The sequence below is a fragment of the Homo sapiens genome, chromosome 3 (genome assembly GCF_000001405.40).
Source record: "Homo sapiens chromosome 3, GRCh38.p14 Primary Assembly".
NCBI classification, from domain to species: Eukaryota; Metazoa; Chordata; class Mammalia; order Primates; family Hominidae; genus Homo; species Homo sapiens.
Window position 1 is genome coordinate 57344265 of NC_000003.12, and position 26858 is coordinate 57371122.

The 26858-nt window shown below is 36.7% G+C and overlaps 1 protein-coding gene across 9 annotated transcripts in view; it reads right to left on the bottom strand.

Moving 5' to 3' along the window:
- Positions 1 to 26858, bottom strand: part of DNAH12 (dynein axonemal heavy chain 12) — a 262335-nt gene that overhangs the window by 50565 nt on the left and 184912 nt on the right. For 7 of the 9 annotated variants that reach the window (XM_047447667.1, XM_011533468.2, XM_047447666.1 and 4 more), the window contains 5 exons: positions 23782 to 23996; positions 22465 to 22657; positions 19330 to 19522; positions 12912 to 13084; positions 7821 to 7961 (listed from right to left, as the gene is read on the bottom strand). In XM_047447667.1, coding sequence (XP_047303623.1) covers positions 7821 to 7961; positions 12912 to 13084; positions 19330 to 19522; positions 22465 to 22657; positions 23782 to 23996 — 915 coding nt within the window. Of the gene's footprint in view, positions 1 to 7820; positions 7962 to 12911; positions 13085 to 18455; positions 18891 to 19329; positions 19523 to 22464; positions 22658 to 23781; positions 23997 to 26858 lie in introns of those variants that run through there. The other 2 variants (XM_047447668.1, XM_011533471.3) reach the window with 2 other exon arrangements.

Below are 26858 nucleotides of genomic sequence, written 5' to 3' on the forward strand. Positions count from 1 at the left end.
GGCTATCATCAAAAAGCCAAAAAATACAAATGCTGGTGAGGATGCAGAGAAAAGGGAACTCTTATGCACTGTTGGTAGGATTGTAAACTAGTACAACCATTACGGAGAACAGTATGGAGGTTCCTCAAAAACTACAAATCAACCTACTGTATGATCCAGTGATCCCACAACCAGGCCTTTATCTAAAGGGAAGGAAATCATTATATTGAAGAGATGTCTGCACCCTGATTTTTTTTGGTAGCACTATTCACAATAACCAAGGTATGGAATCAACCTAAGTGTTCAACAACAGATGAAGGGATAAAGACAATGTGGTATACATACACAATGGAATACCATTCAGCCATAAAAAGAATGAAAACTTCTCATTTGTGGCAACGGGAATGAAACTGAATGACATTATGTTCAGTGAAATACGCCAGGAACACAAAGTTAAACACCACATGTTCTCACTTATATGCAGACGCTAAAATGAAGTTGATTTCATAGAAGTAAAAAGTAGAACAGAGTATACTAGAGGCTGGGAAACAGGGAAAAGCAGGGATTAGGGAGAAATTTGTTAAAGGATACAAAAGAAGTTCTAGTATTCAATAGCACTGTAGGATGAGTGTAGTTAACAATAATATATTATTGTTGACTCTTGAACAACCAACACAGGAGTTAAGGTGCTGACCCCCCATGTGGTCAAAATTCATGTATAATTTTTGACTCCCCCAAAACTTAACTACTAGTAGTCTATTGTTGACTGAAAATCTTACTGATAAACAGTTAATTGTACATATATGTCATATGCATTATATACTATATTCTTACAATAAAGTATACCAGAAAAATGTTATCAAGGAAATAATAAGAAAAATGCATTTACGGTATATACTGTATTTACCAATACTGTAAATTTACATAATCTGTTTACAAGATGAAATGTCTGTCTGAAATGGTGGGTAACCATGCTGCAGACCTCAATTTATGGTAAATATCAAACAATTCCATTTTTTCTTGTAAAGTAATGACTCTTCTCTGTCTCTTGGGAGAACTTCCAGGAAAACTACAAACCAAAATCTCTCATGAAAATAGACACAAAAATTCTCGACAAAATATTAGCAGATCAAATCCCATAATGTATACAAAGAATTATACACTAGTGGCACTTTGTATGGGTCTTATGTTATTCCAAGTTTGTGATATTTTACTAAACACAACGAAAAATACACGAGAACCATGAAGAGATCACTTTTTACTGCCATACCCAATGTACTGAAGAGATGAACTGCTCTTGAGATGATGAGCATCACCTGACATTTTAAGTGGATAATTGTAACACTTAAGCTCATGTCAACAGCAACAGGAGGTGGCTACAAAATTATTACAGTAGTACAGTGTGTGCCACAGTTAATTTTATGCAGTTATGATTTGATGCTGCATCTTTATATTTGTTTATATTTCTTGACTGCAAATGATGCCATGTATGAACTGTGTGTGAGCTTTGATAAATTTCAACTTTTTGTAACAGATTTGTACATATTTTATGGTAGTAAATGATAAAAATAGACTAGTATCTACATATATTTTATGTATTTATGACATACCTAACCTTTTCTTAATTTTTTGAATATTTCTGGCTAGGCAGTTCATCTGTCTTTTCAAAGTGTCACAAATCTTCAGAAATTTTTCCAGTATATTTATTTTTTAAAAATCTGTGTATAAGTGGACTGCTGCAGTTGAAACCCATGTTGTTCAAGGGTCAATTGTATATATTTTCAAATAGCTAGAAGAGAGAATACTGAATGTTCCTAGCACAAAGAAATGATAAATGTTTGAGATGATGGATATGCTCATTACCCTGATCTGATCACTATAACCTGTATGTTCTGAAATATTACTGTGGAACCAAAAAATACATACAATTATTATATGTTAATTAAAAGATACAAAAATGAAAATAATGGCTTGTTCAAAATAATAATAGCAACAATGTATTTGGTGACTATAGCTATGGATAAGTGAAATGAATGACCACAGTGTTATAAGGCACGGGGGAGGGGAAACTGTAAAGAGTCTGTTACAAAGTACTTGCAGGAAGTGGTATAGTGTTATTTGAATGAGGACTTAGATAGATTAGTTGTAAATGTACATTGCAAACTCAAGGGCAATAACAAAAAAAAGTTTTTTAAAAAAGTAAGTATAATTGATCTGCTAAGAGAAGAGAAAAAATGGAATCATACAAAATAGTTAAAACCAGAGAAGACAGAAAAATAGAAGAGGAAAACAGTAACAACAACAACAGAACAAGGGCAATGAATAGGAAACAGTAACATATATGGTAGATATTAATCCAACTGTATCAGTAATCAGTTTAAATGTCAATGGTCTAAATACATCAATTAAAAGACAGGTTGTCAGAGTGGATCCAAAAGCAAGACCCAACTATATGCTGTCTACAGGAAACCCACTTTAAACATAGAAAGACACAGATACATTAAAAGTAAAGAGATAGAGAAAGATATACCATGCTAACACTAATGAAGGGGAAGTAGGGTAGCTATATTAATTTCAGACTAAGAAGACTTCAGAGCAAGGAAAATTATTGGGAATTAAGAGGAGCATTACGTAAAGATAAAGAAGTCAGAATCTCCCAAAACTCTCACAAGGGAAAACAGATAATATGAATAGACCTGTATCTATTAATGAAATTGAATCAATAATTAATAACCTTCTAAAACAGAAAGCACCAAGCCCAGATGGGTTCACTGAATAATTCTAAACATATAATTAAACATAACTAAACATATAGGAAGAAATTAAACCAATTCCACCATGTCTTCCAGGACATAGTGGAAACTGGTTCTATGAAGCCAGTATTACCTAATGCCAGAGCCAAGCAAGACATTATAAGAAAGGAAAACTACAATCCAAAATCTCTCATAAAAATAGATGCAAAAATCCTCAACAAAAGGAACAAAATGTTAGCAAATATTAGCAACAAAATACAGCAAATCAAATCCAATTATGTATAGAAAGAATTATACACCACGACTAAGTGGGATTTATTATAGGTATGAAAGGCTGATTCAACATTTGAAAATCAATTAATGTAATTCATCATAGCAAGAGAGTAAAGAAGTAAAACCATATGATCCTATCAAAAGATGTAGAAAAAACATTTGACAGCTGGGCACAGGAGCTCACACCTGCAATCCCAGCATTTTGTGAGGCCAAGGCAGGCAGATAACTTGAGGTCAGGAGTTTGTGACCAGCCTGGCCAACATGGTAAAACCCTGTCTCAATGAAAAATACAAAAATTAGCCGGGCTTGGTGGCAGGTGCCTGTAATTCCAGCTACTGGGGAGGCTGAGGCAGGAGAATCGATTGAACCCAGGAGGCGGAGGTTGCAGTGAGCCAAGACGAGATAGAGCCACTGCCACTCCAGCCTGGGTGACAGATCAAGAATCTGTCTTAAAAAAAAAAAAAAAAGCAAAAGACCTGAACAGACATTTCACCAAAGAAGATATATAGTTGGCAAATAAGAATAGGAAAAGATGCTCAACATCACATTTCATTAGGAAATTCCAAATTAAAATGAAATACCACTAAACACTATTAAAATGGCCACTTTCCAAAATAGGTAACATGAACTCTTATTCATTGCTGGTGGAGACGCTAAATGGTACGGCCACTCAGGAAGACAGTTTGGCAGTTCTTTACAAAACTAAACATACTCTTACCATACAATCCAGCTGTTGCACTCCTGGTACTTACCCAAAGGAGTTGAAAACTTATGTTCTCACAAAAACTTACACATGAATGTTTGTAGCATATTATTCATAATTGCCAAAACTTAGAAGCAACTAAGATGTCCATCAGTAGGTTAATGAATAAACTGTGGTACATCCAAACAATGGAATATAATTCAGCACTAAAAAGAAATAAGCTAGCAAGCCATGAAAAGACAAAGAGGAACCTTACTACTAAGAGAAAAAATCCCATCTGAAAAGGCATACATAGCGCATAATTCCAACTATATAACCCTCTGGAAATGACAAAACTAAACCATGGAGATAACAAAAGAATCAGTGATTGGCAGGGTTGAGGGGAGGGAGGGCTGAATAAATAGAACACAGAGGATTTTTAGAGCAGTGAAACTACAATGATAGATATATGACATTACACACTTGCCAAAATTGATAGGTGTATAATACCCAGAGTGAAGCCTGATGTTACCTATGAACTTACTTAGGAGTGATAATGATATGTCAATGCAAGCTCATAGATGCTAACAAATATATCACTCTGGTAAGGGGTTTTGTTAGTGCAGGAGGTTGTACATAAGAAATCTCTATCTTCTGCTCAGTTTTGCTGCGAATCTGAAATTGCTCTACAAAATAAAGCCTTTTCAAAAAAAGGATGGGCAAGATATAGAAAACTATGAAACATTATAGAGTGAAATGAAAAAGAACTAAGGAAAATCGAGTGACATACTATGTTCTTAGATTGAAACACTCAGTATTGTGAAATTGTTAATTTTCCACAAACTGATTTACAGTTCCAATGCACTCCTCATCAAAACTTCAGTGCATTACTGGGTATCTTTCCACTTTGGACTTGACCAGATGATGCTAATATTTATATGGAAATGCAAAGATCCAAGAATAAGAAAGACACTCTTGTGTAAAAGAACAACAAACAAATGCAACAAAAACAAAGATAAATAGATGGGACTTAATTAAACTAAAAACCTCCTGCACAGCAAAAGAAATAATCAGCAGAGTTAACAGACAATCCACAGAGTGGGAGAAAATCATCACAATCTATATATCTGGCAAAGGATTAATATCCAGAATCTACAAGGAACTCAAATTAGCAAGAAAAAAAGCCAAACAATCTCATAAAAAAGTGAGCTAAGGACATGAATACACAATTCTCAAAAGAAGATATACAAATGGCCAACAAGCATATGGAAAAATGCTCAACATCACTAATTATCAGGGAATCGCAAATCAAAACCACAACATGATACCACCTCACTCCCGCAGGAATGGCCACACACAAAAAAAATGGATGTTGGCGTGGATGCGGTGAAAAGGGTACACTTTTACACTGTTGGTGGGAATGTAAACTAGTACAACCACTACAGAAAACAGTGTGGAGATTCCTTAAAGAGCTAAAAGTAGATCTACTGTTTGATCCAGCAATCCCCCTACTCGGTATCCCAGAGGAAAAGAAGTCAGTATATGAAAAAGACACCTGTACACACGTTTATAGCAGCACAATTTGCAATTGCAAAAATATGAAACCAGCCCAAATGCCCATCAATCAACAAGTGGATAAAGAAAATGTGACATATATATACCACAAAATACTACTCAGCCATAAAAAGGAACAAAATAATGGCATTCGCAGCAACCTGGATGGAATTGGAGACTACTACTTTATTTATTTATTTTGAGACGGAGTCCCACTCTGTAGCTCAAGCTGGAATGCAGTGGCGCTATCTTGGCTCACTGCAACCTTTGCCTCCAGGGCTCAACTGATTCTTGCCTCAGCCTCTTGAGTAGCTGGGACTACAGGCATGCGCCACCATGCCTGGCTAATTTTTTTGTATTTTTAGTAGAGACAGGGTTTCACCATGTTGCCCTGGGTGGTCTTGAGCACCTGAACTCAGGCGATCCACTTGCCTCGGCCTCCCAAAGTGCTGGGATTACAGGCGTGGGCCACCACACCCGGACTGGAGACTATTATTCTAAGTGAAGTAACTCGCTTCACTTACTGTAATGTAAAAGCAAACTTCGTATGTTCTCACTCATATATGGGAGCTATGCTATGAGGTCATAAAGGCATAAGAATGGTACGTTGGACTTTGGGGACTTGGGAGAAAGTGTGGGGGGTGGAGAGGGATAAGAGACTACACATTAGGTACAGTGTACACTGCTCTGGTGATGGGTGCACCAAAATCTCAGAAATCACCACTAAAGAACTTATTCATGTAACCAAACACCACCAGTTCCCCCAAAAACCAGTTGAGATAAATAAAAAATTAAAGAACAAGATGAAACACTATCAGAAATCAAGATTAATTACACACATACACATTAATGGAACTGAATAGACAGTCCAGAAACAGATCTAGATATATGAATGTATTATTTATGGCAAGGAAGGCACTACAGAGCAGTAGGGAAAAGGCCAAGTCTTTTCAACAAGTGGAGAGCTGCATGGTAAAAATGTAAAATTTGACATTTCCTTAGACCACACACACACATCAGTTGCATGTGGCTTGTACATCTAAATGTGAAACGCATAATAAAGCTTCCAGATGGTTATATAGGAGAATACCTTCATAATATTGGGCTGTGAAAAGAGTTTTCACAAAGCAAGAACCATAAATCAGATTATATTAAAATTAAGAACTTGTGCTCAGCAAAAGGCAGCATTAAGAGAAAGAAAAAGCAAACTAGAGAGTGAGTGCCAATTTGTCACATACAATTGTCAAGGGATTTGTGTCTAGAATATATAAAGAACTCACACAAATCACTAAGAAAAACCCAATAGAGAAATGGACAAGTGATGTGAACAAGTACACTAGAAGATTTCCAAGTGGCCTATAAACATGAACAAGTGTTCAACTTCATTAGTCATCAGAGAAATATAAATTCAAACCATGATGCAATAATATGTATCACATACCAAAACAGATTTTTTTAACAACAATATAAAACGTTGGTGGGGGCCGGGTGCAGTGGCTCACACCTGTAATACCAGCACTTTGGGAGGTCGAGGCAGGCAGATCACGAGGTCAGGAGTTTGAGACCAGCCTGGCCAACATAGTGAAACCCTGTCTCTACTAAAAATACAAAAATTAGCTGGGCATGGTGGTGCACGCCTGTAGTCCCAGCTACTCGGGAGGCTGAGGCAGGAGAATCGCTTGAACCCGGGAGGCGGAGGTTGTGGTGAGCCAAGATCCCACAACCGCATTCCAGCCTGGGCAACAGAGTGAGACTGTCTCAAAACAAACAAACAAACAAACAAACAAAAAACCAACAAAAATAAAACGTTGGTGGGGATCTGGTGCAATGGAATGCTCAAATTCTGTTAATGGGATATAAACTGGTACAATCATTCTGGAAAACAATTTGTAATTTTCTTTCTGGACATCTTCCCAACAGAAACGTGTGCACATGTGCCCTCTACATTTATACACAAGAGTGTTCATAGCACCATTACTTATAATAGTGCCAAACTGGAAACAACCCATCTGTTCATTGAGTAGAACAGGTAACGTCAATGTATTCTTATAATGGAATACTGTAAAGCAGTCAAAACAAATGAACTAGCCTCATGCTACCACATGGATGAATCTCAAAAGTAATGTTGAGGAAAAGAAGCCAGATAAAAGAATAAAGAATACATATTACTTGCTTTCATTCATATATGTAATATATATATATGTCAAGCTAATCTGCAGTGTTATAAATGAGTCTATGGTAGTTACCTTTTTGGGGTAGTAAGGAGGTGGTAACTGAAAGGAGTACAAGTGCTTCAAGGATGGTGGGGAAATGTTCTATTTCGTCACCAGATCCTCCCTTTGTAAGAATTTGTTGAACTGTACATTAATACTCTGTGAACTTTTCTGTTACATAAATTTTAAAAATTAAATAAACACCGATACTATCGTAGAAGCCATTGTTATCAGTGAAATGCACAAGTAAAATCATGACTTAAGCGAAGAAAAATATAGACTTCTGTGAGAAGACATATTCACAGATTTGATTTTCCAGGGAGGTTTTAAAAATAAATAAATTATGGTAAAAGCAAGTAACTTACAGAAGAAGATTGGCACATAATAAAAAGGAAAATAACAGCTTGTCCTTCTCAAATAGTGATCGGCATATATTACAATATAAGTTGTATGTGAAGTGGTCATTTAAATATCGTAGGCGCTTTTCCAAAATCTTGGATTTGTTACTAAAGTTAAAAAGAAGGAAAACGTATTGTCAAACAAAACTAAGAAAATATAAGCAATGTGAATTAACATATACACTTTTTATTTTATGAAAGTATCACTATTAAAAACGTATAAAGATACACACACGAGGGCATGTAAAACTGGTGAAATCTGAATAAGCTCTATGGGTTGTAGCAATGTCAGTTTCTCGGTTGTACTATAGGCAAGATGCTAGCACTGGAGAAACAAGATGAAGGGTACGTGAAACCTCTCTGCACGTATTTTTCTGTGTGCAACTTCTTGTGAGTCTGTAAGTATTTTAAAATAAAAAGTTTTAAAATGTAGGGTATAATTCTCTGAGAAAGTGAAATATGGTTTACACCATCTCTCTATTTTCCAAATCCTAAATATCTTATTCTGCCCCAAAGTGACTGAAGACAATCAGTTAATTAAAAAAAAAAATGCCTATTAAATCTCTATTAGTGTAAGGCTCTATGGTAGGGAGGGAAATGTAACAGACAAAGCATTATGAAACATTTGCCCGCCCCAAAGAAGCATAAAGTCTAGATAAAAATCTACATAATTTAAAAATGCATGAAAAGGTCAGGCGCAGTGTCTCCTGCTTGTAATCCCAGCACTTTAGGAGGCCGAGGTGGGTGGATCATTTGAGGTCAGAAGTTTGAGACCAGCCTGGTCAACATGGTGAAACCTCATCTCTACTAAAAATACAAAAATTAGCCAGGGGTGGTGGTACACGCCTGTAATCCCAGCTACGAGGGAGGCTGAGGCAGGAGAATTGCTTGAACCCGGGAGGTGGAGGTTGCAGTGTGAGATCACGTCACTGCACTCGAGCCTGGGTAATGGAATGAGACTCCGTCTCAAAAAGAAAATAAAATGCATAAAAAGTCAGAAAACATATGGATAAATATAGTTACTGGGTGGAGTTGACTGATACTCTTTATACTCTCATATTCCAAAAAATGTTTACAATAAGCATATATGGCTTTCAATTTTTTTCAGTTTAATTTTTAAATGTAATACTTATGGGAATATAAAATGATGTAGCCATTCTAAAAATAGTTTGGCACTTTATTTTTTTTTTTTGGAGACAGGGTCTCACCCTGTCACCCAGGCTGGAGTGCAGTGGCATGATCACAGCTCATTACAACCTCTACCTCCTGGGCTCAAGTAATCTTCCCATCTCAGCCTCCTAAGTAGCTGGGACTACAGGTGCATGGCACCATGCCCAGCTAGTTTTTTTGTATTTTTTGTAGAGATGGGGTTTCACTATGTTGCCCAGGCTGTCACTTTCTTTAAAAAATTTTTAAAAACTAAACTAAAAAGCTTCTGCACAGCAAAAGAAACTATCAACAGAGTAAACAGACAGCCTACACAATGGGAGAAAATATTTTCAAACTGTACATCTGACAAAGATCTAATATCCAAAATCTGTAAGGAATTTAAATTAATTAACAAGCATAAAACTAACAACCCCATTAAAAAGTAGGCAAAGGACATAGACACTTTTCAAAAGAAGACATACACATGGCCAAAAAGCATATGAAAAAATGCTTAAAATCATTAAGCATTAGAGAAATGCAAATCAAAACCACAATGGGATACCATCTCACACCAGTCAGAATGGCTATAATTAAAAAGTCAAAAAAATAACAGAAGCTGGTGAAGTTGTGGAGCAAAGGGAACACTTATACACTGCTGGTGGGAATGTAAATTAGTTCACCGTGGAAAGCAGTTTGGAGATTTCTCAAAGAACTTAAAACAGAACTACCATTTGACCCAGCAGTCCATTATTGGGTACATACCCAAAGGAATATAAATTGTTCTACCATAAAGACACGTATGCGTATGTTCATCACAGTACTATTCACAATAGCAAAGACATGGAATCAACCTAGATGCCTGTCAATCGTAGACTAGATAAAACTAATGTGGTACAGATACACCATGGAATACAACACAGCCACCAAAAGGAATGAACTCATGTCCTTTGGAGCTGGAGACCATTATCCTAAGCAAACTAATGCAGGAACAGAAAACCAAATACCACATGTTCTCACTTACAACACTGAGTACACATGGACACAAGGAAGGGAACAATAGACACTGAGGCCTACTCAAAGGTGGAGAGTAGGAGGACGGTGAGGTTCAAAAAACTACCTATTGGGTACCATGCTTATTACCTGGGTGATGAAATAATCTGTATACTAACCCCCTGTGACATGTAGTTTACCTGTATAACAAACCTGCACATGTACCCCTGAATGTAAAAGTTTAAAAAAAGAGTCCTCAATAAACCCTATGTCTTGTTTGCTAAAAAAAAAAAGAAAAAAAAAAAGAAAAAAAATCTAAACAAACAGCTGCTACATAACCCAGCAATTGCACTCTTGGGTATTTATCTCAGAGAAATAAAAATTTCTATTCACAAATACACGTACATGAATGTTTATAGCAGTTTTATTCATAGTAACCCCAAACTGGAAGTAATTCAGAAGTCCTTCAACAGGTAGATGATTAAACAGATTTTAATCTGTGGTAAATTCATGCTATGAATTATTTCTCAGCCATCAAAAAGAGCCAAATATTTATATACACAGCAACTTGAACAAATCCCTGGAGAATTATGCTGAGTAAAAAAAGCCAATCTCAAAACATTACATGCCATATGATTCTATTTATATAAAATTTTTGAAGTAACAAAAGCACAGAAATGGAGAACAGGTTAGTGGTTGCCAAGGGTTACGGAAGGGGTAAGGATGGGAAGGAAGTGGGTATAGCTATAAAAGGGGAACACAGAGATCCTTGTGGTGGTAGAAATATTCTGTATCTTGACTGTATTAATGTTATTATCATGGTTGTGATATTGTTCTACAGGTTTTCAAAATGTCACCATTGGGGCAACTGGGTAAAAGGTACATGAGATCTTTATTATTTCTCATAATTGCATGTGAATCTACACTTAACTCAAAATTAAAAATTTGATTTTTAAAAAGTAATACATAGGACCATGGGAATGGGATGGAAGGGATGGTGGTATTGACACTTCTCTGAGTAAATCTTTTGGTACAGGATTGAATTTTGGAGTCATTAATGGTTCATGTACTCAAACATATAATAAAATTAAAGTCAACAAAGATGAAGAAAAACCCTAAAATGAAATATAAAAATAAACAAATGAACCTAACTGTATTTCACATGAATAACATCACATGTTGAAGGGGGGAAAACTAACCCAAGTAAGTTGAATATAGCATTTTATGCCTAAATTTTTTTTTAACTTTAAGTTTTTGTGTGAACATATGCAATCAATTCTTTTGGGTATATACCCAGGAATGGAATTGCTGGGTCATATGGCAAATCTAGGTTTAATATTTTGAAGAACTTACAAAGTGGCCACCTTATTTTAAAATCCAACCAGCAGTGTAAGAGGGTTCCAATTACTCCACATCCTCACCAAAACTTGATATTGACATTTTTATGTCAATTCTTTAACTTGAATTTCCTTCATCATATGGGTTGTATAAATTCAAATTCCAAATCCCAACTGAGAAGGGATTTCAATCACTCAGCAGAGGTTATTCTACCAAGAGCCAATGTAGAAACTTCTCACAGCATACATGATTGGCTCAAGTCGTATTTTTATTTTACTTAACAAGTACAGCAGTTAGTAAATACCAGACATTGTTATAAACACTTTACAAAAATTATCTCATTTAATTCTCATAAAAACCCAAAAGGTAGGTATTATTATTATCCCAATTTTATAGATAAGAAAAATTGAGGCAATTACCTCACGTTAACGAATTTGCCTGTAGGCATGCAGCTAGTATGTGGCAGAACTGAGGTGTAATCCCCAACTCCAGTCTGACTCCAAAATTTGCATACATTCATTAAGTGATTAAAGTGCAAATATCTAGAAAACTATTAGAAATGTGGGGCCAGGTGCAGTGGCTCACTCCTGTAATCTCAGCACTTAGGGATGCTGAGTCGGGCAGATTTCTTGAGTCCAGGAGTTCGAGACCAGCCTGGGCAACATGGTGAAACCCCATCTCTACAAAAAAATTCAAAAATTAGCCAGACATAGTGGTGTGCACCTGTAGTCCCAGCTGCTCTGAAGGCTGAGCTGGGTGGATCACCTGAGCCTGGGAGGTTGAGGCTGCAGTGAGCTGTGATTGTGCCACTGCACTCTAGCCTGGGTGACAGAGTGAGACCTTGTCTCAAAAATAAATAAATAAATAAATAAATAAATAAATAAATAAATAAATAAAATAAAGAAAAAAGAAATGTGGGACTGAAGCCTTTTAGAGACCTCAGTCTTGGAGAAAGATGCGCTAGAGTTGCTAGGAAAAATAAATCATGTGCCTGCCTCATTGAAATATTTAAGAGAGAGAAGAAAAAAACTAAAGTTAATCCTTCCATGCCTAAATCTTGAGTAGGAGTGAAACAACAACTTAAAATAGAAAAGAGGTTTTGATTATCTTTCATGTCTTTTTTTCTTTCACTTTTCCACTTTTTTATTTTGTATTTTTATTTTTTAAGACAGTCTCACTCTGTTGCGCAGGCTGGAGTGCGGGGGTGCCATCTCGACTCACTGCAACATCCACCTCCTGAGTTCAAGCGATTCTCCTCCTGCCTCAGCCTCCTGAGTAGCTGGGATTACAGGTGCCCGCCACCACGCCTGGCTAATTTTTGTATTTTTAGTAGATATGGGGTTTCATCATGTTGGCCAGGCTGGTCTCGAACTCCTGACCTCAAGTGATCTGCCTGCCTCAGCCTCCCAAAGTGCTGAGATTACAGGTGTGAGCCACCGCACCCGGCCATTTTTCCACATTTTTAATGTTCTGTAATGGATATACATTATATAAGTTTTAAAAAAAAGTTACATTTTTTTAAATGGAAAGGGCTGTGAAAATCCAACCTCGGGAAGATGAATAAAGCGAGAGAATGTTTACCTGTCATGAATAGAGTTGATATAAAGGTTCACAAACCACGTGAGAGAGTACTGATACATGGGATCAATATTAGCCAGGTCTGCAATGCTAAAGAATAACACTGACGAGTGTTTGGCGATGGGTCTATAGCCTTCTCGAGACTCTGCTATTTTGAGTTCTGTTTTTTCTGCAATCTAGGAGAACAGAAAAAGCGAGATTAAGAAATAGGAAGAGTATTTTAGTTATGTACTTTTCATATAATGAAGTATATATATTTTAAAAAAATCTCAGTGCAATAACAGTATATGAGTTTAAGTATGGTTTACAAGAGAGGGCTTTATCATACTAAAAGCCAGAAATAAAGAAAACAAAAGGGGATGAAGGAAAGAACTAGGGATGGAGGAAAGGGGAAGGAGAGAAAGGAGGAACAAGAGAGGAAAAAAGAAAAAACAAGTTTAAACTTTAGATTAACAGTATGATCAGCTACCAACCATCTCTTTCTTGAGACATACCAAATAAGAAAGCTTTGCTTATTCTTTGACTGACTGACCTGTGTCTACTGTAGTCATTCACCTTCTTTTATCTTAACAGGTCAGAGATAAAGAGGGAGAGAGGGATGGAGAGCAAGTGTACATGTGCGTATATTTAAGGTGTTAACTCGTGTACTGGAACCCAGCACAGTCTGGCAAAGTAGGTATTCAAAACTATTTGTTGATTGATGGTTTTATATACAAGAATGCTTTTTCAACTAGCTTCTCATATGTTTAATTTTCTAACTTAACAGGGCTGTAGATATTCAACCCCCAAAGAAAAATGTTCTCCAAGATAATAGCTCTTCAACTCAATCGGATAGGTTGATATTCTATAGAAAAAAATGTTTCGAGCACTATTCCAACTCACTCTTCTTTCTTTGGTAATGCTATCCACAGACTCTGATGAATGGTATGCCTATGTAGTCATGTTTATATCAAATCCTGTTTGTTGCTAATTTAATCAAGAGGCAGGGCTAGAACCAGATCCAAGATAAGGTAATCAAAAATTTCCCTGGAGAATTAAAACTTTAAAAGCCTCGGAAACTGAAGTTAGGTGGCATTGGCATTAGGAGTAAAAGGTAGTGGGACTTTTTCTACATGTTGGTTTCTACATGCTAGATGAGTATATAAAGGAAGAGATACAAAAGTCTTAAAAGAAACTGGTCTTCAGATAGAGTAGAGGGAAGCACAGAATGACCACACAGCCCCGGAGGTAGAGGAAGAGACAGAGAGTACAGAAACTTAAGGCCTTCCGTTCATCCTTGAGGTCTGGATGTATGTCCTATAATTGAGAAAATAAATTATTCCCTTGTATCTTTTTTATTTTAGCTAATTCAAGTGGGTTCCTGTTCCTTGCAAACAAACTTTCCCCAAAATTACACTGTATAACCACAAATGAACTAAAAATAAGTTTGGAATCTCAGTCCTAACTATAAATAAGTAAAACAAAGTTATCGACAATGGGAATTAATGACATCTTATGTAAGAAAGCATAATTTTTGTATTCTCACTTAAACCTTTTGCTATTTAAACTTTGACTTTCAATTCAAATGTCATTTTGCAATTAATAGCAATAGCAAGCAGAAACAAACAGGAAATATAACTTTTATTTTTTTGAAAGGGAGTCTTGCTCTGTCACCCAGGCTAGAGTGCAGCGGCATGATCTCAGCTTACTACAACCTCCACCTCCTGGGTTCAAGCGATTCTCCTGCCTCAGCCTCCCAAGTAGCTGAGATTACAGGCGTCCACCACCACACCTGGCTAATTTTTGTATTTTAGTAGAGATGGGGTTTCACCATGTTGGTCAGGCTAGTCTCGAACGCTTGACCTCAGGTGATCCACCTGCTTTGGCCTCCCAAAGTGCTGGGATTACAGGCATGAGCCACTGCACCCGGCCGTAATTTTTAAACATTAAATAATAACTTAATTAGTATTCCATGGCTTGATCTATGCATACTTACAGTGTTTGCTAAACTTGAATCCTTAGCATGAAATGCTAGGCTTAAGAAATATAAATACATTTTAAAAATCATTTACCATTAGTGTTCTAAAATCAAAGAACAAGATATTTTCTAAGAAATAAATACTATGGGCTGGGCACGGTGGCTCACGCCTGTAATCCCAGCACTTTGGGAGGCTGAGGCGGGTGGATCATCTGAGGTCCGGAGTTCGAGACCAGCCTGACCAATATGGAGAAACCCCATCTCTACTAAAAATACAAAATTAGCCGGACGTGGTGGCGCATGCCTGTAATCCCAGCTACTCCAGAGGCTGAGGCAGGAGAATGGCTTGAACCCGGGAGGCAGAGGTTGCTGTGAGCCGAGATTGCGCCATTGCACTCCAGCCTGGGCAACAAGAGCGAAACTCCATCTCAAAAAAAAAAAAAAAAAAAAAGAAAGAAAGAAAGAAATACTGTGAGTATATGTTAAGATGTTAAAAGAGGGCAACTCATTACTTGTAAAACTTTTTCTGGTCTGTGATATTTATATATATTATACTTTCCAAAAATAAAAAAGACTAAACTTCAGTCAGGAAACCACTGGAGTAGCAGTAGGGGTAAATTTTGAAATCTCTAGAATAAACTTGTAAAGTTTTGTTTGTTTGTTTAATCTTGTGGGTTCAGGGAAAAGGGAAAAGCAGATTTTGACTATTTTGGAGAGCCTTCCCTGAAGATGTTTTTTCTTAGGTAGGTGGAGAAAGGTAGAATAGAAGTCAGGGTCAGATACAGAGTATGTTTTAGCTCAAACCATATAATGAATTTAAAACTATGTTTGCAATGATCAGTGGGATCCAGTCAGAAAGGTCCTATCATTTATTATATTTTTCTCACTGTAAGATAAAGCACTTGAACCAATAAATAATTAAATCTTCCTTTCTCTTCGAGTCTTAATAGGAAATAAGCCAATAAATGCTCCCTATCTTCTCTCCCCTTTGAAAACTAGTTTGGTGAGGGAACAAGTAGCAGCTTGTTCTGCTCTGATGGACGGGTATTGGGAAAGGAGACACTACAGAATATCTCAGCCATGGTCCCAGACTGGGGGCTGCCACAGAATATTACTCTAAGACCCTACTCCTTTGGCTCCCCCAAGATGAAAAACCCAAAACAAAACAAAGCACCAAATAGTACAAGTGACCAGAAAGCATGATTACCATCACATTCATGCAAAATAAATCTATCCAAAAGGGAAGGGTGCCTAGAGCTTTAGAAAGTCCTCTGTCCAGCCAGGCACAGTGGCTCATGCCTGTAATCCCAGCACTTCGAGAGGCCAAGGCAGGCGGATCACCTGAGGTTGGGAGTTCGAGACCAGCCTGACCAACATGGAGAAACCCCATCTCTACTAAAAATACAAAATTAGCCGGGTGTGGTGGCTTATGCCTGTAATCCCAGCTACTCAGGAGGCTGAGGCAGAAGAATCGCTTGAACTCGGAGGCGAAGGTTGCAATGAGCCAAGATGGTGCCATTGTACTATAGCCTGGGCAACAAGAGCGAAACTCTGTAACAACAACAACAACAACAACAACAAGTCCTCTGTCCCAGAGCAAGGGTGCATTGTGGGGTGGGGAGCAGTGCAGAGATGATGAGTAATTAGTGCAATCTCTGTTTAGCTTTCTTTTTATTTTTTAATTACCCTAAAGTGAAGGAGCACATAATTCATTGGGTGGGTCAAGGAAAACCAAAAGGCCTGAAGATCAATAACGTTAGCTTACAGAAGTCATTCTGTAATACCATTTAATTGTGTAAACTTGGGCCTTAGCCAACCTTTCTGGGCCCTAGTTTCCTCAACTATGAAGTGCAAAAAATAACTGCTTGCTAACGCCTTTTCTGCTTATAACATTGTATTATTCTATAAAAAGAGAAGTAACATAAAAATATCATTCAGGGCCGGGCACGGTGACTCACGCCTGTAATCCCTGCACTTTGGGAGGCCGAGACGGGTAGATCACCTGAGATCAGGAGTTCAAGACCAACCTGGCCAACATGATGAAACCCTGTCTCTACTAAAAATACAAAAAAATTGGCCTGGCATGGTGGGCGCCTGTAATCCCAGCTACTCAGGAGTCCTGAGGCAGGAGAATTCCTTGAACCCGGAGGTGGATGTTGGAGTGTGCTGAGATCACGCCACTGCACTCCAGCCTGGACAACAAGAGTAAAACTCTGTCTCAAAAAATATATATACGTATATATACACACACTTATATATATACATACGCACTATATATATATACACACACACTATATATATATACACACACACACTATATATATATATATATATATATATATCTCATTCAGCTCTGTTAGGTGAATTTGCAATAAATCCATTATTGGCTGTAAACTATTTGCCTCTCTTCCTCTACCTGCCACCCTCAACTCTTATACCTGTCTTCCCGACGAATGACAAGATAATGACGGAATTAATGTCTAAGAATCTCTATTTATTCCTAGAATCCCTAATTGTTCAATCAACTAGCAACTACCTCCACCAAGAACTCCAATCAGAAACAGAGGTAAGACAAGCTCTCAAATTCAATTTTCCAGAGAAGAGTCAATTAAAACCTGAATGAACCCAAGTATCCTGCTTTACCTATCCAATAATAATACCTATCTGATACTTCTAATAATACCTTACCAATCCAATAATAATAACTTACCTGTTCAATAATAATACCTTTCCAATATTTTTTTAAAATTATACTTTAAGTTCTAGGGTACATGTGCACAATGTGCAGGTTTGTTACACATGTATACAAGTACCATGTTGGTTTGCTGCACCCATTAACTCGTCATTTACATTAGGTATGCCTCCTAATGCTATCCCTCCCCACTCCCCCCACCCCATGACAGCTCCCAGTGTATGATGTTCCCCACCCTGTGTCCAAGTGTTCTCATTGTTCAATTCCCACCTATGAGTAAGAACATGCAGTGTTTGGTTTTCTGTCCTTGCAATAGTTTGCTCAGAATGATGGTTTCCACCAGCTTCATCCATGTCCCTGCGAAGAACACGAACTCATTCTTTTTTATGGCTGCATAGTATTCCATGGTCTATATGTGCCACATTTTCTTAATCCAGTCTATCATTGATGGACATTTGGGTTGGTTCCAAGTCTTTGCTATTGTGAGTAGTGCCACAATAAACATACGTGTGCATGTGTCTTTATAGTAGCGTGATTTATAATCCTTTGGGTATATACCCAGTAATGGGATGGCTGGGTCAAATGGTATTCCTAGTTCTAGATCCTTGACAAAGTGCCACACTGTCTTCCACAATGGTTGAAGTAATTTATACTTCCACCAACAGTGTAAAAGTGTTGCTATTTCTCCACATCCTCTCCAGCACCTGTTGTTTCCTGACTTTTTAATGATCGCCATTCTAACTGGTGTGAGATGGTATCTCATTGTGGTTTTGATTTGCATTTCTCAGATGGCCAGTGATGGTGAGCATTTTTTCATGTGTCTGTTGGCTGCATAAATGTCTTCTTTTGAGTAGTGTCTGTTCATATCCTTTGCCCACTTTTTGATGGGGTTATTTCATTTTTTTCTTGTAAATTTGTTTAAGTTCTTTGTAGATTCTGGATATTAGCCCTTTGCCAGATGGGTAGATTGTAAAAATTTTCTCCCATTCTGTAGGTTGCCTGTTCACTCTGAGGGAAGTTTCCTTTGCTGTGCAGAAGCTCTTTAGTTTAATTAGATCCCATTTGTCTATTTTGGCTTTTGTTGCCGTTGCTTTTGGTGTTTTAGTCATGAAGTCCTTGCCCATGCCTATGTCCTGAATGGTATTGCCAAGGTTTTCTTCTAGGGTTTTTACAGTTTTAGGTCTAACATTTAAGTCTTTAATCCATCTTGAATTAATTTTTGTATAAGGTATAAGGGAGGAATCCAGTTTCAACAGAGTTATAGACCAATGGAACAGAACGGAGCCCTCAGAAATAACACCATGCATCTATAACCATCTGATCTTTGACAAACCTGACAAAAACAAGAAATGGGGAAAGGATTCCCTATTTAATAAATGGTGCTGGGGAAACTGGCTAGCCATATGTAGAAAGCTGAAACTGGATACCTATCCAATACTTCTAATAATACCTTACCTATCCAATAATAATACCTATCTGATACTTGTAATAATACCTATCCAATAATAATAAATATATTTTAAAACGTTCATTCTAAATTTATTTCTTCTGTGTATAGATACCATATAGATCAGACCAGGTTTTAAATAATTTAACAGTAAGATATTCTCTTATGAGTTTAAATTTATGTTTTGGTATTTTATCATTTTCTTTTTCCTTTCCAGCAAGGCTACACCAACACCTTCCTTGGGGACTGGAAACAAATCAGGATCTTAAGATTTCTTAATAATCTTAAGATTTAAATCAAAAGACTTCTAGGATTCTTTTTTCACCTGCTGTTTCTTTGTTATTTCATTGGACATCATTTTGGCAGAGTCTAAGACTTTAATTGCACTTTCATCTTCTAAAATGTTTCCTTCTGATGATGATAATGTTTCTAAAATTTTTTTCTCTATGTCTTTCAGCTGTTTCTTGTTAGCTGCAGACTGAAGAATCAGGGCATTTCGTTCCTCTTCTAATTCTGGTCTAAAAAGATAGAAACATTTAGTCCAAATTTGTAGTATTTTATCTAAATTTATATCTAAGTGTTACATATCACAAATTTGTAGACATCTAACACAAACTAAGGTGGTTAATTGCTTTAAGGGAAGAAAACTTTCACACATATAACTATTTGAGAAGTTCAAGCAAGAAAAGCATTAATTGTATACACGTAAAATGTGGCAATAACATGTGCCACAGTAAGTCTAAGAACACATTAGACTTATCCATATGGCATAGCTGGTATGCAAGAGTAAGAACTGGAGAAGAAACTCAAAGTATGAACTTCTTATCTATTTCTTGATTTTGTCATCACTAAGTCTCATTTTCATCATATTTTCTATAGTAGCACACATTGAAAGGATGACTGGTGATAAAGCTGGTTCTTTAAGTGAAAGGCAAAATTGGCACTTGTGTCAAAACATTTATATCAAACAAAAATGGGATGAAACTTCAAAATAACACAGTCTACCATGGAATAGAATAAGTTATGACATGGTTCCATATTGGACACTCTACAAGTGGGATTTAAATATTGGAAGAAACACTTCATGGTTACATATTTTCACTTTTAATTCGATTTCATTTATTAGACCACTTGATAATGCTACATTTAGATTCAAGTGAAATCAGATTTCCTTCCAGAAGCAATTCTTTACTAGTAGCCCTCCCAGGTACCATAGTGTTTTTCCTCATTTTAAAAAAAATACATATTTGGGGTTTTACATTTAAGTCTTTAATCCTTATTATAGGCACAGGCAAAGATTTCACGACAAAAACATCAAAAGCAACTGCAACAAAAACACAAATTGAAAAATGGGATCTAATTAAACTAAGGAGCTTCTGCACAGCAAAATAAACTATCAGAATGTACAGACAACCTACAGAATGGGAGAAAATTTTTGCAATCAATCCACCTGACAAAGGTCTAATATCCAGAATCTACAAAGAACTTAAACAAATTTACAAGAAAAGACAAACAACCCCATTAAAAAATGGGCAAAGGACATAAGGACACTTCTCAAAAGAAGATATTTATGTGGCCAACAAACATATGAAAACAAGCTCAACATCACTGATCATTACAGAAATGTAAATCAAAACCACAATGAGATACCATCTTATGCCAGTCAGAATGACGATTATTAAAAAGTCAAGAAACAGATGCTGGTGAGGCTGCAGAGAAATAGAAACGCTTTTACACTGTTGGTGGGAATGTAAATTAGTTTAACCATTGAAGACAGTCTGGTGATTCCTCAAAGACCTAGAACCAGATATACCATTTGACACAGCAATCCCATTACTGGGTATATACCAAAGGAATAGAAATCATTCTATTATAAAGGTACATGCACGTGTATGTTCACTGCAGCACTATTCACAATAGCAAAGACATGGAATCAACCTAAGTGTCCATCAACTATAGACTGGATAAAGAAAATGTGGTACATATACACCATGGAATACTATGCAGCCATAAAAAGGAACAAGATAATGTCCTTTGCAGAGACATGGATGGAGCTGGAAGCCATTATCATCAGCAAACTAACACAAAAACAGAAAACCAAACACCACATGTTCTCACTTATAAGTGGGAGCTGAAAAATATGAACACGTAGACACAGGGTAGGGAACAACACACACTGGGGCCTGTCAGGGTGGGTAGGAGGAGGGAGAGCATCAGGAAAAATAGCTAATGCATGCTGGGCTTAATACCTAGGTGATGGGTTGATAAGCGCAGCAAATCACCATGGCACACGTTTACCTATGTAACAAACCTGCACATCATGCACATGTATCCTGGAACTTAAAATAAAAATAGTACATATATAAAGTATAAAGAAAACAATAAAACTTACCCATAATCTTACCACCACAGAGATAATTACTTTAACATTGAAGTGTATTCCTTTCCAATCTTTTTTTATTCTTTTTATATATGTAGATAAATATCAATCTTTTTTTAAACAAAATATCACCTATTCTGGATATAGTTTTATATGCTGCTTTTTCCTTCTTTTGCTAAGCATTTTCTTATTAATATCTTGTGTGTGTGTACACATATATATATATATATAAATGTATTTCTATTTACGGTCATAGCATAGATTCCTAGGGGTGAAATTTCTGTCTCATTCAGGTACAAGTCAGAAGTCATGGTGTCAGAGGAATTTGAACCAGAGCAACTCCATCTTGAGCAGGGGGTGGGTAAAATGTGATTAAAACCTACTGGATTGCATTCCCAAACGGTTGGGCATTCTAAGTCACAGGATGAGATAGGATGTCAACACAAGAAACAGATCATAAAGACCTTGCTGATAAAACAGATTACAGTAAAGAAGCTGGCTAAATCCCACCAATACCAAGATGGCCACAAAAGTGACCTCTGGTCCTCCTCACTGCTACACCCCACCAGTGCCCTAACAGTTTACAAATGCTATGACAATGTCAAAAAGTTACCCTCTATGGTCTAAAAAAGGGAAGCATAAATAATCCCTTGTTTGGCATATAATCAAGAAATAACCATAAAAATGGACGACTAGCAGCCCTTGGGGCTGCTCTATGGAGCAGCCATTCTTTTATTCCTTTACTTTCTTAATAAACTTGCTTTCATTATACTCTGTGGACTCGCCCTGAATTCTTTCTTGCATGAGATCCAGCAACCCTTTCGTGGAGTCTGGATCGGGATCCCTTTCCTGTAACAATGGCAGGTAACCTGAACCCAACTGCCCATACTAAAAGCCCAATATAACACGGTTGGCTTATAACTTACTTGTTACAGATGGCTATTTTAGAGATTATGTGATTATTTATAGTAACAAAGTATAAAATTTGACAAAGTTTTAAAATATTCACAAAACATAAATATTAATGACCTACAAATATTCCTTTTTAAACCATCTAGAAGCATCTAAGAAAATACATACCTCTCCTTTGCAACAACAATACCTAGTAATTGATCTTCAAGTCCTTCTGGAGTTATCATGAAATTGAGCAAAGACACTTTTGTAGCCAGTTCTGGCATATAGTGCGGGTTTCTCAGTTTTGTGGTGATATAAAATTTGAAATCAAAGGAATACTCAATAATGACCTCACCAAGTCTGATGCAATCAATGCCACCTATATTTCAGAAAACAAATGCATAACAAGTGAGCTAGTTACATAGCCCCTCATGCTATGTACTTCTATGGCCTTGCCTAGGTTACAAATAAACGGTCCTAAAGTAATTTAAAATAGAAAACAGGGCCAGGCTCAGTGGCTCACACCTATAATACCAACACTTTGGGAGGCCAAGGCAAGTGGATCACTGGAGGTAAGGAGTTCAACACCAGCCTGGCCAACATGGTGAAACCCCATCTCTACTAAAAATACTAAAAAAATTAGCTGGGTGTCATGGTGGAACACACCTGTAATCCCAGCTACTTTGGAGGCTAAGGAACAAGAATCGCTTGAACCCAGGAAGCAGTGAGCTGAGACTGCACCACTACACTCCAGCCTGAGCATCAGAGCAAGACTCTGTCTCAAAATGATAATAATAACATACAGAAAACAGGAGTGGCAAAAGTCACAGACACAGCAGCAAGTAAGCAATTATACAGCAGGACTCTTTCTGGGTTAATATAGGACATTTTCTCTGGTTGTCATAGAGCTTTGTAAATCAAGATTTATTTTGAGCTTTCTTCCTCCATCAATTTTCAATCATGATTCTAAAATATATGTAAATGACTAAAGCTCTTAAAGGTAATAGCACTTGGCAGAGACAAATTTTTATAAACAGAAAGATATTAGCTGGACAATGTTTACCTAAACTCAACTCAGGCCCACATTCACCATCACTATTCATGGTGGCTAATTCCTGTAATCCCAGCACTTTGGGAGGCTGAGGGAGGAGGATCACTTGAGGCCAGGAGTTTGACACCATCACTATTCATAACAACAGACTTTTGGTGGTCAAGGGTCACAGGATAAAGCAATTTCAAGCTGGCTTCAACTTCTTTATGTTCTCTGACAGTCTAGATAACAGTGGTTAAGGCAATGAAGAGAGGGCAAGGTATTTATCTTAGAATACCTGGCTAAGGTTCATTCCTGATAGCTTGTTCCAAATTTCCTTTCACTCATAACAATGAGCCAGAAGTTCTGCATTATTAACATTATTATTAAATGTATGTAGTAGGCTTCTTTCATGCCTCCAAGATAATTCAATCATCTTTCAGTTCTACAGATTAATAGTAATTGCTTTATACCTTGTTTAAAAGTTTGTCTGAGTAGTAAAGGCTCCAAAGATGGATCCAGTTCTTCACCAACATTTTCTAATAGAAGTGGAGTTCCAAACTGAATACAGTTTTCCAATGTTCTCATATAGTCTGAATCTGATAGCTTAATAACACTAAGCTGATTTTCTTTTTCAGAGTTTTTGATCCACTTATTGGCTTGACCCTGGGGGTCAATCATTAAAGGCCTAGAATATAATAAGAAAAATTCTGAGAGGAAGACATAGACGTTGAGATTTCTTTAAAATTATATAAATAATAAACATCACCATCAATCTGTACAAAGTATTTCACATACATTATCAGCATTACTCTTCACAAAAGTCCTATGAGAAAAAAATGAAAAGGAGTTTTTTTTTTTCTTTCTTATTTATTTTTCAAATGAAGAAATTCAGTCTCAGGAAGTACTCTGCCCAAGGTCCCAAGGTTCCAAAACTAGTTCAGTGTTAGAAGTAGTAGGACCTTGTGAATCTACGAGCTCTGCTCTTCCCAATATAATATGCTGTCTTCATGGTAACTTTAATACACGACATCTGTTAACATAATATGAAAATAATACTATAAAATATTTGATAAACATTTAAAACAAGAGATCCACTAGCATAAAAGGGATTTCCTCAGATTATGAGTAGAATTACAAACTGTGTCCAAGTTTAGGGTGGTATATATCTGAGATCTATTTAGGAGTTTCTTCTGAGTTAGTAAAGACTGTGTTCAAGAACATATGATTCATGGTTCAGATGTGTAATATATGATGTGCTTTTCTCTTCCTCATGGATGATGCTGACTGTCCTAGGTTTCTCTTGTATTCAGTACAGTACATTAAATTTTCTTTTAAAAATATAGCACAGATGCCGGGCACGGTGGCTCAGGCCTATAATGCCAGCGCTTTGGGAGGCCAAGACGGGCAGATCACCCGATGTCAGGAGTTCAAGACCAGCCTGGCCAACATGGTGAAAGCCCGTCTCTACTAAAAAAAAAGTAAATAAATACAAAAATTAGCTGGGCGCAGTGGTGGGTGCCTGTAATCCCAGCTACAGGGGAGGCTGAGGCAGGAGAATCGCTTAAACCCGGGAGGTAGAGATTGCAGTGAGCTAAGATTGCGCCACTGCACTCCAGCCTGGGCAACAAAGATTGAAACTCCATTAAAAAAAAAATATATATATATATATATATAAAACTGTATTTAATTATATATATAATTTTTACATATAATATAGAATTTTAATTATATATTATAAATTATATATATTTAATATTTATAAATATTTAAATAAATAAATAAATAAATATATATAAATAACAGAAAAGGGAGTTTTTGTCCCATGTCACTTCAGCTTTCCCATTCTCTTTCTATTCCAACAGCTTCTAGGGCTAGGGCTAAAATCCCCTTTCCCTATGAATAAGCTCTTTAATTTATTCTCAAATAACTGTGTTCTTTTAGTTTCTTTCTTTCCCCAAAGACAAAACTAGCTGACTAGATGTTTTCTTTCTTGGCTCTAATTGTGCTGAAATCCCACCTAAAGTACAAAAAGGTCCAGACGGTACTTAAAATCTACTTTTCCTACCACAGCAAGAAAGCAAACAATAAAGTTATTTTTTCATAGAAGTTACCTAGTAGTTAGACTAGTAAATGCTTTTAGTACCTTTCAAGCCCCTGTTTAAAGAGATATTATTTTCTTCCTTTCATGTCTTTATTATTGGAAAAATACAGTAAGTGTTCATTCTCTCACAAAATGTAACATCTATAAATTAACATTCTAATGTTAATAAATGTCCTTGGTAATGCCTAAATAAATGTTCTTGGTTATCCAATAATTAGAGATTCTTGTCTACTCTGAAAGAAATCTGACTTCTATTTAATATAACCTTATGTGAATACTGGAAAATTGGATTGTTGTGTCCATCATAGAAATAAGGCCAGGCCATGGTATTTGCATTCTAAGTATACCTTACTCTAGGTATGAAAATAATACTAGGCTACATTTGAGATCTTTGAGCAGTCTGAAGAAAGCAGCATTATCCATCTATGTTTCTGACAGAGGTGGTAATTTGGAGGAAAATAAGCTTTGCTGTTAAGTAGCCAAAGCAATGTATAAACACTAAAAAAGGAACAGACTATTTTGCATTTTATTTGTTTGTCTCCTACCTCCACCTAGGAGACATAGTAAGTGTTTTCATCATGGTTGAAACATAGCAAAATCAGAGCTTAAGATATAGACTAAAATGAGATATTCAAAGATAATTATAAAAAACTAACATTTCTTGAGCACTTATGTGCTAAGTGCTTTCTCACAACATTTCTATGAAGTAGGAGTTATTTTCACTTACAGATGGGGAAACCAAGGCATTGAGAGGTCAAATACGTTACCAAAATCTCAAGACAGAAAGTGAGGAAGCTTGAACCCAAATGTCCTGACTCCAGAGTCTGAACTGCTCTCAACCATTGCACAATATTATAAACAGACAAACTGTTAGAAACTATAAAGAGCAAGCACAATGATTAATTATAAACTATGGTCACAACAGCATGACTGGCTAAAAATCCTTCTTCCTCCTAGTACTGATGGATAAAATATGACATTATTTTAAATGCACAGGTTAATTGAGGCTTGCATTTAAAAGACACATACATACATCCACACATATCTAATACATAGATACAGAAAAACACAGGTGCCCAAACAGATAAAACTAAAATCCAGAACAGTAAGTTTGTGAGCTAAACTGACACCTGGACTTGGGAAGAGTATCAGTCTGATAACCTAGAGGCTCACTAGGTCCATATGTTGGGGGAGGCTGGAACTGAGACCTTTGCATGAAGCTGAAACTCACAAAAGGCTTAATGAAGTCACTGACAGAAAAATTTCAAGCCTATGCATAAAGAGATAAGAAGGAAATGTTTTGATTCCCATCTCATATCTGGCTAGGAAAAAGTGTCCCCTGAAAATGTGAATGTGTAGCTGTGGGTCTATATCTCATACAGGTTTAGGATATAAATTTATACCACCTGCATGACTGAGGAAACTCCAAGATGGAAAATTAACATG